Source organism: Homo sapiens, chromosome 8 (genome assembly GCF_000001405.40).
Source record: "Homo sapiens chromosome 8, GRCh38.p14 Primary Assembly".
In the NCBI taxonomy this organism is placed as follows: domain Eukaryota; kingdom Metazoa; phylum Chordata; class Mammalia; order Primates; family Hominidae; genus Homo; species Homo sapiens.
The window spans coordinates 117,278,532-117,291,952 of NC_000008.11; the positions used below are offsets into that span (position 1 = coordinate 117,278,532).

General features: G+C 37.6%; 2 long non-coding RNA genes across 6 annotated transcripts in view; one reads left to right on the plus strand and one right to left on the minus strand.

Moving 5' to 3' along the window:
- Nucleotides 1–13,421, minus strand: part of LOC105375716 (uncharacterized) — a 436,284-nt gene that overhangs the window by 194,095 nt on the left and 228,768 nt on the right. The gene's annotated exons all lie outside the window — the stretch shown is intronic.
- Nucleotides 1–13,421, plus strand: part of LOC105375717 (uncharacterized) — a 37,330-nt gene that overhangs the window by 4,778 nt on the left and 19,131 nt on the right. Inside the window, exons 3-4 of the long non-coding RNA XR_928573.3 lie at nucleotides 6,116–6,265; nucleotides 6,901–6,985. This is a non-coding gene — a long non-coding RNA (uncharacterized LOC105375717). The remainder of the gene's footprint in view (nucleotides 1–6,115; nucleotides 6,266–6,900; nucleotides 6,986–13,421) is intronic.

Consider the following 13,421-nt stretch of genomic DNA (forward strand, 5'->3'; position numbering starts at 1 on the left):
GCAAATCTTTTTCCCCAAGTAGTCATTTACATTTTAACTTCACGTGTGGCTTCTTTGACTACATCAAGGTTCTTGTTTGTCATATAGCCAAATATGTCAGTCTTTTATTTTATGGCTTCTGGGTTTGGTTCATGCTTAGAAAGACCTTCCCCATCTCAAGATAGACAAATATTCTTTTAAATTTTCTTCCGGTATTTTCCCAGATGTCTCTGGTGCCAGCCCTGTGCATATCCAAATGACCACAGTACAGACTTAGTAAAGAGTACAAACTCCAGAGCCAGGTTGCTTTGATTCACATGCCAGCTGCAGTGATTACTAACTGTGTAACCTTGAACATCTGGAAAGGACCAATAATAGTTCATATATCCTGAAGTTGTGGTGGGAATTAATAAATTTTCATTTATATATTTAGAATGATGTTCCACAAATATTAACTATGTAAAGGTACAGAACATCATTTATCTCTGGGAGCCTAGCACAAGCATGCTTTCTGGCATATAGTTCAAAACTCTGATAATAAAAGATTAATCAATTTATTCAAATTATGTTTACCCCTTCTGCCTTTTCATCAGTTATTTATTACTAAGTCTATCTGGCCACAGTCCACATAACCATTTCTTAGCATAAATAGCTGTCTGATTCTCAGTTGATCTTGGGGCTCTTAGAAGCAACTTATGAAATTGCTTTGCAGAAAGATTTAAACCAACCTATGGGTGACTAAAATGTGGACTTTCCTCACATACCCATCATGGCCACAATTCTTTGAAAGGCAATGAACATTTGTTAGCCTGAAGGCATAAACAAGGATCTTACATCTTTCTTTCTCAAGTTTTATTGATGTATTTTCATCTCGCAGTCTCTACCCAGTAGTTCAATGATGATTGCCATGGTTATTGGAAATATACTCCCCATTCTTTGGTACTGATAATTCAGAAGCCAAACCATGGGGTAGGGGAAGTTTGTTTTTTTGTTTTTTGTTTTTTATTTTGCCCTGGAGGATCTTACAGCTTTACAAGAAAGAAGAAAATGAAATTGAAAGGACATAAAATACAAAACCTCAAAACTCTGTGTGACAGAGTTGTTGATGCTATTCACAGAATAGAAGCCAGGAACCAGGGCAGCGTATCCCTCAATTTATCAGATATCTTTCTTCCAACCCATGTCAGAATTGTACAGACTCAACTGGTTGCTTTAGCTCCATGTGCCATTCACTTTTCATGAGCCACTAATGCTACAAAAAAAAAAAAAAAAAAAAAAGGCTTTTCCCTCTTTCACTGTTGTATATTCTTTCCAGCCAGGGCAACAAACCACACAGGCTAGCTGTCATAGAACCCACTCCAGTTGTCTTCCGGGTTTTGATCTTTCTACAAATAGATAGAAACTAGGAGAAGTTTGAAAATTTTTTCCTGCTCCGAAAACCTGACCGCAAGCTATTTTCCTTCCTTGACCGCAAAATAATTTCTATCTTGATGTCAGAAGTTCAACTTTACCTTGTTCCTTCTCAATTATTTCTTAGGGTAAAATTTTATTTTCTCTTGCTGGATGGATGCCTCAACCTCGGTAGAGAGAAGATCATGAACCTAAAAATGCAAAGGAGATAAGGGCATTCATATTTTTCCAAAATGTTATCCTGACTAAAAATGTATAGTGGCTCTAAGGCAACTATCAGGGATGTCGTATGAAGTGCACAATAACTGAGAGGGTCAGGAAGTCAGAGCAGTGTTGTGGGAAAAACAATTTGATAAGAACCTTGAGGCCTAGGAGGAAGCATTTTACTTTAATTTGTTGGAAAACTAGAAGCTTTTTAAAAGTTTTTTAAAAGAAGGGGTATTCTGATCAAAATGACACTTTGGAAAAGGAATCTAATACTTCATATAAAAACAGGGCATGTAATGTTAAGGGTAAGAATGAAACATAGTAAGAAGTAGTAGAATAACTGAGAGTCTCATAAAATCATTCTGGAAAAATATAAGTGGTTCTGGCCTGAACAAGCCTTGCAGATCACATGGAGGAATGGGCACAAGATTATTGCTCCATTGGAAAACAATAATTAATAAACTAACATATACCTCAAAGACTATATGTCACAGAGTTACTAAGGTTATATAGAAAACTGAAGTCAGGAAAAGAGCAGTATAATTCTCAATTCATCTGATATACTCCCCTACCTTTATCTCATTCCTTTTTCTTAGTGACCAGTAAATGGTAGTGATCGTGTGAGGTAGGTACTATGATCATCCCCATTTTACAGATGCATGGAGGAATCCTGGGGAGTTTAAATAATTTGTTCAGGATCATAGACTTAGGAAGTGGCAAAGCCAGAATTTGATCAAGACTCTGTGACTCTGGAGCCTGTACATTAAACTACTAGTCTTTCAGGTCTCTGTAGAGACCTTCTCTGATTAAAGAAGAAATTAGGGACTTGGGATGAATTGGCTGCAATGGACAGTAAGGAAAAAGATTTGAGATGACATCAATGTTGCTAATTGAGTGGGAGTGCCAAGGATGGAGATAGAGAATTGATAGTTTAATAGGGGAGATATTTAAGCTCTTCAGTCCTTCAACAGTCATTTCTTGAGGGCCTACCAGGCACCAGCATCCACCAAGCATTGTGCAGGTTTATGGAGATAAGAAGGTAAAGGAGGTTTCCTGTCTTCAAGGAGTTCAAACTAGCAGGGTGGTTCAACTCTTTATTTTATTTATCACCATAATTAATCTGTTTAAATTTAATACCTCATGCAAAGCATGCAGATCAAGGTAAACATCTAGGGTACTATCAGTGCTCAGAGGAATGTGCCTACCTGAGAAAGGGATCAGTTAGACTTCTTAGACAAAGTGATGCACAAGGTAAGTCATAATGTACAGTAAATGACATTAAATGGTAAGGTTGGTACATTCTCCTGAACAGGAGAATATGCCAGGAGCAGGAATGGCATGTACAAAGGGACATAGGTAAGTTGGACTGTGCAGGGTGACCATGGCACAATCTTGGGCTTCATCCAGAAGAGAACAAAGCCCCATCACAGAGTTTTAAGCAAGTCAGGCTCATGGTTCGTTTTGCATTTTGGCTAGATCTCTCTGGCAAATGTGCAGATGCTATATTTGAGTGGGATAATACTAGGAGTAGGGAGGCATATTGAGAAGTTCTTCTACAAGTCCAGAAAAGATGACAATAGCTTGAACCCAGAAAGTAGCAAATGACTTTGGAGAAAAAGGCTAGATGAGAGAATTAATCAGATACAAAGTTTGGCAATTGGTTGGGTGAGGGGGCAAATGGTGGGGGTGAAGTCAAGGATAACAAGCTGTGTTGTCTATGTGATAGTGGTGTCACAAAACAAGTTAGAAAGTATGAGCAGAGAAAGGCTTTCATAGAATCAAATGACGAGTTCAGTTTGGGATATTGGATTAGTTAATATCTAGGGCTGCCATAACAAACTACTACAAACTTGGTGGTTTAAAATAATAGAATTTTATTCCCTCAAAGTTCTGGAGGCCAGAAGTCCAAAGTCAAGGTGTCAACAGGGTTGTATTTTTCTTGAAGACAAGAGGGAGACTTCGTTCCATATCTCTCTCCTAGATTTTGATGGCTGCCAGCAATTCTTAGTGTTCCTTGGCTTGGAGACATAGCTTTCCCATCTGTGCCTCTGTCTTCACATGGTCTTCTCCCCTATGTCTGTGTGTCTTCTTTTTTTTCTTTTCTCTCCTATAAGGATACCTGTAATTGAATTTAGGTCACACCCTAATCCAGGATGATCTCATCTCGAGAACATTACCTCAATTCCATCTACAAGGACCCTTATTCCACATAAAGTCACATTCTGAGTTTCTGGGGGGCATATCATTTTGATAGCAGCAAGAGGCAGTCAAATGTCCAGGTAGGTAGGGACAGGTCCCGGGTGAAACTCCACCTTCAAGCAAAAGACAGTTCAAAGCCTGAAAGCCAAGCTACAAGTCAAATCCACAGACCAGATTTAGAATATCTCTTCCTGTTTGTCGTGCTTTCTTCTGATTGATCCTCAGCCTTCACCTATTTTACACATATCTACACTTCCCTAATTGGTTTTTTCACATTGTTGTGCTCACCTTTGAGTGGTGTCTTCGTTTTAGCTTTTTTGCATACTCACAAACCAATCAGCATGCACTCCCCCATTCTGAGCCCACAAAAGTCCTGGACCCAGCTACACTGGAGGAAGAGACCACCTGACTTTGGATGCAGGAATCACCCTTGCATCCCCTCTACACTGACAGCTGTTCTGTCGCTCAATAAAGTTCTTCTCCGCCCTCCTTACCCTTCAATTGTGAGCATAATCCCATTATTCTTGAACATGAGACAAGGTCTTGGGAACCACTGAATGTGGGTATGAGCTGTAACACAGGTGGGCTGGGGCATACCCGGCCCAGCCATGGGCTGAGCGAGGATCCTGTGATGAGTGCGTGCAAGATCCAGTCTGGTGTGCAAGCCAAGCACAGCCCAGTGGGCCTAGTTGACAGGGTGCCTCCTGTGGCAGGCCTGGGGCCAAGCAAGGCCTGGGTGGAGATGTCGCCAGCCACGGAGGTCCCCAGCTGGAAAAGTGACCAGGAAAAGTCCTGCAGCATTTTGGGGGTTCACTATTCAAGTCACTACAGACACTTTGGAGATACCCAGGGGTGAGTGTGAAGCTGAAGAGTGAGTCTGAAATCTGAGTCTGAAGTATGAACTGAGAGGCATCATCATTTGAGTGCTAATTGAAACCAAGATAATGGATGAGAAACACAGAATAAAGAGATCAGTGAGCCAATAATGAAACCTGGACACATTCATATTTACTTGACAGGTAGGAAACAAAGGTATCTGCAGGGGCAAAAAGAAGGCACGGACATGTTGTTTCAATAAGAATCAAAGCATTTTATGGTTTTTATATATCTACAAATGATTGAGCACTTACTCTGTTCCAGTTCTTTACATCAATGTTCCCAAACAGGTTGTTCACAATAGGTGTTTTCATCTGCTTTATACATGAAGAGAATAAGGCTTGGGCATTTTAAATAACCTGAGCAGGATCCAAGAGCTGATTAGTCATGAACTCAGAATTTGTCTGAGTCCACCTTTGTCTCATTCCAAAGCTTCAGGTCCTTTTCCTCGTTGCTGTCTTTTTAGCATTTCAACAAAGGGAGCGTTTGAGGATAGAAGAAATGGTTTAAGATATTATGGCAGGGACTATGAGTTGCCTACTCAAATTCATTGTTACCTTTTATATTTTTAACAGAATCCTTTTTTTCTTAAGGTGGTGATATGCCAAGTTTTAAAGGATTTTTGTCTTGTCTTTCCTTGCAGATAGGTCTGGCCATGCAACAGAATGCTGACCAGTGAGATATAAGCAGAAATTGTTGGGTCCAGGAAATCTCCTTTAAAAGATGACTAAGTGGGAAGATATCTTTTGGACTTTTTTTCTCCTTTCCTCCTCCTTACCTCCAGGCATGTGGACATGATGGCTAGAGCTACAGTCACATTTTTTTTTTTAATACCATGAGGCAAGTCTTTGGATGAAAGTTAAGGGTTAAGTAAGGAGAAACAGAAGAATCATAGGCACCTGGGCCACTGTTGTTACTACAGAGCTTCTGCACCAGCTCTACCTAAGAAGAATATCTCTTCCTAATCTTAGTGATATGTAGGAAAAGAACTCTCTATTTGTTTAAGCCATTTTTTTTCCTAGACTCTCTTATAAGCAGCAAAAAAAGTCCCAATGTGGTGGCCCCTTCCCATAGCCTCTGAAATGAAAGAAATGGATTAGAGGGCAGAAGTGGATATAGATGAATTTTGGCAGGACAGTTAAGGGACATCAAATTCAATGGTTGCAACTTTAGGATGAAGTAAAAGGCAGCGTTTACTAAGACTGGGTGTGGCTGGATTTGGAGTAGGGAGGTTTTAAGCACTTTAATGGTGTGCTAAAATGAGATACTGTACTAACTGCTGATCCAATGTACCTTGCCTACTTTGTGCTGTAACCTGTCTCTGAAAAAAAAAAAAAATGGAATAGCATTTCTCCCATTCTGAACACAGAGAACATTTGAGTTTTGTCATTGTGCAGACTAATTCCATTTTGGTAACTCATCATGAACCTTTGCAATTTTTTAGTGGCAGTATAATAACCTGCAAGCTGGTTCAACCTGAAGAATACTCTTCTGTTTTTATACTTCAAAAGAGCTACTAGAACTTACTTGACCTTAAAAAAAAAAAGTCTTCAAAGTGGATCTGGAGGTGGTCAGACAACAAGGGAAACACAGGGTAAATCTTAGCACTTACCTGAAAGAGCCTCTTCTTGAAAGACAGTGATTGAGATAAGATGATTTCTGGGAAAGACTAAGGTTTGCTAATTTTTTTCCCCTTTCTAGGATGTTTAATTAATTTCTTAAGTCAATTTTCAGTGTACCTAGAATAATCAATATTCTCATATTTTTATCGCTAACTTCTTGGCTACAGTCCCTAAATTCACTGCATCTTGATTTATGCTCAAGTGTGGGTAGTTGTGAGATGAATTTTTATTTTTATCAAGATTTGCTTTAATTATAAGATCCCATGGTGTTTTCATTTTCATAGCCAGGACTCATATTCACAGGAACATGCCCTTTTAAGAGAAAATGATTTTATTCTTCAAAGTCCTTTGTTAGTGACAATTCAACCTGAAATTTTAACACATTTTAACTGATGCCACATTGAAATAACATTAGAGAGAGAGAGAGAGAGAATCATTGCAAAATATGCAACATCACTATCAAATAATGATAGTGATGACACACACATATATGCACATGCTGAGACTGAAAAAGATAAATGTTAGGATTACTGGGTTCATCTGACTTTAATTTTTCAATCTTACTTGTTTGTGTGTCTGTTCTTTCTTGTCCTCTATGAGCTACCAGAGAGCACAGATGATGTCTCAATCATCATTGTGTCCGCAATGTCAAGAAAGCACAATTCTCATCACATAGCAAGTCCTCCAGAAATGTAAGTTGGGTGAATTATTAAATAACTGATTGAATACATAAAAGATGTCTAACACACAATTCCTTCAACAAGCATTTCATGTGCACCTTCCATGGTCTAAGTGTGGCATTAGGCACTGGGAATGGATCAAAGACTAAGAAACCATAGGCTCTACCCAGAGTTCACATACACATGTGCAAATACATACATATAACACCATATGATAGTACTTCAATACAAGTAATTACCAGGTGAAAAGGGGGATGTAGTAGGAAACACGTGGAAGTCAAATTGTCAGAATTTGGAAGCCAATGGGGTAAAGGAAGTATAAGGAGAATAAAGAGTCCATAACGATTCTGAGATTTGGGCTTAAACTGGTAGTGACTGGTGGTGCCCTTAACCAACACATGGAATATGAAAGGAAAAGCAAGTATAGGGAGAAAATGCATTGAGTTTTGGACACATTGAAGTTAAAGTTCCCATGTTAGAGATGCGCAGTAGGAAACAGAATGTGAATCTTCTCTAGAGAGAGGCTGGACTAGAAATACAAAGCACGCCATCATTAACATATAGAAAGAGGATTTGAAATTGTAGCAATAAAAGAGCTAACCCAGGAGGAACATGTAGAAACTGAGGAGAAAGCAAAAATGGCATGGCCCCAGTCACACACTCCTCTTCTGTACATGGATTAGACAGCTACTTATTTCTTCAAATAATGTACCATCCTTAATGATACAAGCATGGCCACCAAACCCACACTGCTCTCTCCTCTCTGAATTGTGAATGCCATGATGTTCTAACCAGGTTTCTTACAGATAGGGTGCACGCTTCTTCATGCCTCCACATCTAACACAGCCCTTTGTGCAGATAAGTACTCAATAAATGCTTGTGGATAAGAATGATGACTACCTGTTTTGACCAGCAGATGATGCAATCTAATAATAGACAAGAGACTTTATCAGGTGGGATGCCAAAATCACTGTCCTCTCAAACATCGAACACTTTGTTTACTAAGAAAAAAGAAGTGTTTTGAATTATTCATACTCTGACCTTAGCCACAGCAGCAGAGATGCCATAAAACAAACCAGACATTTTTTATGAATTTTATAAAAGTTCCCATCTAGGTAGGCCAGTTTTTCCTTAAGATAGGTTTTATTATACAACTTCAAATGCTATATGGAAATTCTGTGAGTAAAACTCTTTCTTGTTAACTTATTCAAAAATCCAAACTTAATTAAACCCTCAATCACTTTTCCTGGAATTGAGATGATGAGATGAGATTTGGTGATCTGTAATTTTTGGAATCTCCTTTCATTTCCTCTGTTTTTTTCCCTCAGTGTGGCATTAGCAATTTTTCCTCCAACCTTCAGGAGAGTTGCTATTTATAGAGAGAATATATTACATCCTTACTGGCAGTGCAACTATTTCACAGTTTATTTCCCTCAGAATTCTCAGATGAATATCAAGGAATACTAGTGATTTACTATATTTGGGTTCCTCAAAGTTGCTCAAGAAGTACATCCTTAAAGACTGAGACACATTTGAATTTCCCATAAGGAATATTTGTGCTATAGAAATGCAAGTATTTTAGCCTCTACTCACCCAGTTACAACATAATAACAAACAAGATTTTCTCTTTTCAAATGTGGTCTCTTTGGCCATAATTTACAAAATTAAAATAATAGAAAACATATCTTCATCTTATTTAATGAGATATTCTGTATTTGAAAATCATTTTAGAACCCAAATGTGCAGATCAGTACTCAGTAAATGTGTGTGGATAAGAAACTCTGAATCTTGTTCAGAGTTCAGACTTGTATTTAGTGTTTAGATGCTATTCTCAAGTTGGCAAGATAAATTCTCTTGACTGTAAGAACAATAGCTTCCAGAATACAACAGGGCTCCAACACTTTTACAACAATAGTAACCACTCTTTGCTCAACCTGAATAATGAGCAGATGTGGTTTTGTTGTTTGTATCTTCCCAGCATCCATTTACTCTTCTTCTGGAAATACCACCTCAATGTGAGAACATTACCCTCATTCCTAGTTTCAGTCCATGTAGTTCAGATGGAGTCGAATTCACCATTTGGCCTCAGAAATAGGATAACCTAAGATGGGCCAATCAAAGCATTGCATTAGCCTGGCCATAGTGACTAATTTAAGAATGGCACATCACCCAAGCCAGACTAATAACTCTCAGTCCTGGTTTATTGTTGGGAATTCCTCTTGACTAGTCTTCAGGATGATCATTTTAAAAGAGGGTAACATAATATCACTTGGCTAACTTCCAATAACTTTCATTGTAACAAGGATTAAATCCAAACTCCTTACCATGGTCCATAAAGCTACTATAATCTAATTTCCACCTACCTCATTTATCTCATCATTTGTTATTTCTTCATATTCACTTCACTCGATACCTCAAATAGGCTATGTTGCTTCCCATCTCAGGAGCTATGCACTTGTCATTCTTTCTATTTGCAATATTTTTTCTTGGATCATTCTCTTGCTGTATTTTCCCCATGATCATTTATGTTTTAAGCTAAATGTCTCCTACACAAATAGGCCTTCCTGGATGACCAAAAAAAGCATCCATCACATAGTCTTTACTGCATTATCCTGTATTATCTTTTTCATATTAATTTCAGGGTCCCAAATTATTTTACTTGTTCACACCTTTATTGTGTCTCTCATTTCACCAGAGTGTAAGCTCTCTGGGGGCAAGCACATTAATTATCTAGTTCATCATTGTATATATCCTGTATTCCCTAAGTATCAGGCTTTCAATAATTATTTGCTGACTGATGGAGGAGCTACCTTTTTGCTGTGCTTGCTAACCTAGCAGAATATAAGCCAAGAGCTGCTAATGTCAAATTGTCAGCCAACAAGGCCAATGCAGGGGTAAGGAGAGCTGAGAAATGAAGAGAAACAGATTCCCCACCACACAACTGAAGCCAGATATCCAGAGATGTTGTTTATATAAGCCAGTCATGCTTAATTCACTTTGAGCTAGATTTCTGTCTTTTGTAACCAACAGGAGTCCTGATGGAAAAGTATGTAAAAGAACTTGTGGAGAGCCAAGCACCATACTTATATAAGTGCTGTGTTCTTGGACAATATCCATATTCTGTCACTTACACCACGTATCTTTCCTTTTTTTTCCTGTTTTTGGCCAAAATTATAGTTAGCTAAAAGGGTTAAATGTCTTATTTAAAGATATTCAGGTAATTTATCAGTGAAAAGTTATTTGAGATTTATCTGCAAAGACAACCCATGTATTAAGGTAACCAGAATATTTGACTTTATAGTATGGCAATGGTATTTTTATTGTTGTATTTAGTTGAAAAGGTGAATTGTTTAGTTATCTGTGTATCTAAGCATGGTAGAATAACTTTACTAGACTTGATCTCCTACTAAAAATAATTATAAATTAAAAAAATAAAATAAATACTCAATAAAAATAGATAAAATATGTGAGACAACTTTTTAAAGCATTGAACAACAGACAGCACAGTACTGCAATCTTTGAAAGAAGAAAAACACAGAACATAGGGGCCATAATAATATCATGATCACTCAGACTTCTCTGCTTCAGACCAGGAAGAAGAAGCTCAAGAAGAATTGGGGTCTCACTAAGATAAGAAGGCAGAAGTTGTAATTACAGATTTCTGATGTGACTGGAATTTGTAAGGCAGTATATCCGAGAAGCAAGCACTGCAAAGGAATGGTGGGAGTAGGGTAGATAAAAACTGCATTGAGATTCAATAACTGTATAAAATGTAAATGGACTAATTACTTCCATTAAAAGGCAGAGATTTTCCAGTAAAAACACAAAATCCAAGTATTATCATCTATAAGAAATTTGCTTTTAATATGAAAAGAGTCTGAAAATAAAAGGATAGGAAAAAATATACCAAGAAAACAGTAAGTATTAGAAAGTTGGAGAAACCATTTTTAATATTAGGCAAAACAGACTTTGAGACAAGGAGTATCACCAGAGATATCCTTAAATTTGCAACCATAAGACTTTATATAGCAATATTAAATTTTAATACAAACCCACAAGTTACCTTCTATTCTTTCTCCTTTCCATATTTCTAACTTCTTTCTCAGAGTGAGAGACCTGGCTATCATTCTCCACAATACATCACTCATTTTCTCAAACCTACACAGAATATGGTTTTAGAATTACTAACAAATACTATTGTGAAAAGCAAGCTTACTGGGGCAGGAAATATACAACATAAGCCTGAAGCATCTTATAGTGCCAGAAACTAAGGAAGTGCTCAAAAACCAATCAACCCAAACCAAATTGATAGGGGAATGTCAAAGGGACAGAGGAGCCAACTGAAAGAGCTCTCAATGGCCAAAGCGAAAACCCTTAATTTTAGCAACAAAATAAATTAAGTAGTAATGGATTATAACTCAAAGTATAACATACATATTCATGAGGTCTTATTGATATGAATAAATAAATAAATAAGTAAATGAGAGAGAAGAGACAAAGCTTCCAGGCAGAAGAATTCCAAATAATTTATGGAAATACTTTGCTCTTAAGGAGGGAAGCACAGTGTGGTCTTCCAGTAGTGATCTCCCTGTAAAGAGTACAGTATAAAAAGGTGGGGATGGAAGAGAGTAACTTTACAGTGGAGAAACCTGACAGACACACCGGCAAAGTGACCCAGATCAACTTCAAGAGTGCTAAATCCTGTTGATAATATGTATTCCTAATAATGATGTGCTTAAGTTGGCACTTTACTTTTGTGGTCTTCTTCCAAAAACCACACAATCCCAGTATAACCATAAGAGTAACATCAGCTGGGTGCAGTGGCTCACGCCTGTAATCCCAGCATTTTGGGAGGCCGAGGCAGGTGGATCACAAGGTCAGGAGTTTGAGACCGGCCTGACCAATGTGGAGAAACCCCGTCTCTACTGAAAAAACAAAAATTAGGTGGGTGTGGTCACGCACGCCTGTAATCCCGGCTACTCAGGAGGCCGAGGCAGGAGAATCGCTTGAACCCAGGAGGCAGAGTTTGCAGTGAGCCGAGATAGTGCCACTGCACTCCAGTCTGGGCAACAGAGCGAGACTCCCTCTCTTAAAAAAAAAAAAAAAAAAGCCAATAGCGAAGTATCCTATACTCTTCAAAACTGTCAAGGTCATAAAAACAAGGAAAGTCTGAGAAACTATTGCAGTGAAAAGGAGCCTAAAGAGAGGTAACAACTACATGTAACATGGTATTCTAGACGGAACCCAGGAAAAGAACATTAAGTAAAGCTAAGGAAGTCCTAATTAACTATCTTCTCAACTTTTCTGTAATCTTGTAATCTAAAGTTGTTCTAAAAAATGGTGTCTATTTAAAAATATGATTCAATACTGATTGAATAAAGCTCCTTCAACACAAAGGCCACAAAAGTGACACCAGAAGCAATAAGCACACCTATGACTAGTTTCTAAATCACATTCTCCTCTGAAAACCAATAGGGTGACTATAGTCAATAGTAGCTTAGTTGTATATTTTAAAATAACTTAAAGAATGTAATTGGATTGTTTGTAACACAAAGGATAAATGCTTGAGGGGATGGATACTCCCCATTCTCCATGATGTACTTATTTCACATTGCTTGCCTGTATCAAAACAGCTCATGTACTCCATAAATATATATACCTGCTATGTACCCACAAAAAATTTAAAAAATAATAACATTTTAAAAACCCAATAGGCCTCTTTGGAGGAAAAGTTGCTTTTAGGGTTTAAATACAAGCTAAGTCTGCAACATTTTCCTGCACCAAAAAATTAGAAAGTACTCAGAGATGATGAGGATGTATCAATAGGGCAGGAGAACAAGTTGAAAGGTCCCCCGTGGCCACATCTGGGTCAAATTAAACTTCACTATAAGTAAATATATAAATGATTACATTTAGTAAAATAAGAATCTATGAGTTCATATTGACATAAATAAATATATAAACCAGGTCTTCCTTACAGTAGGATGCTATAAGATGCTTTAATGTGGAGAAAATGATGGAGTTTAAAATATCAACACTGGATGCTAAAATTAGTTTCATGAGGAACATGTATTTACGTATAAAAGTAATTCCCCACAAATTACTTACAAAGGGGAACATAGACATTTTGCAGTGGAGAAAACTGGAAGACAATACAGTAACCAAATGATCAAAGCTAATATCACCAATATTGGAACAAATCAACATCATAGGCCTCCTGATGTGATGCACTGTGGAGGAGGACACAACACTGTGTCTCTAGCGTTCCTGAGAAAAATACTTAAATTTAATCAGGAAATAAAAATCAAAATTTAGGAACGTTCTGGAAATAACTGGTCTATGATCTTTAAAAAAGTGTCAATGTGTCAATGCCAAGAAAGATAAAGAAAAGCTAAAGAACTACTACAGACTAAAGAAGACTAAAGGAGCATGACAAATAAAGGCAATG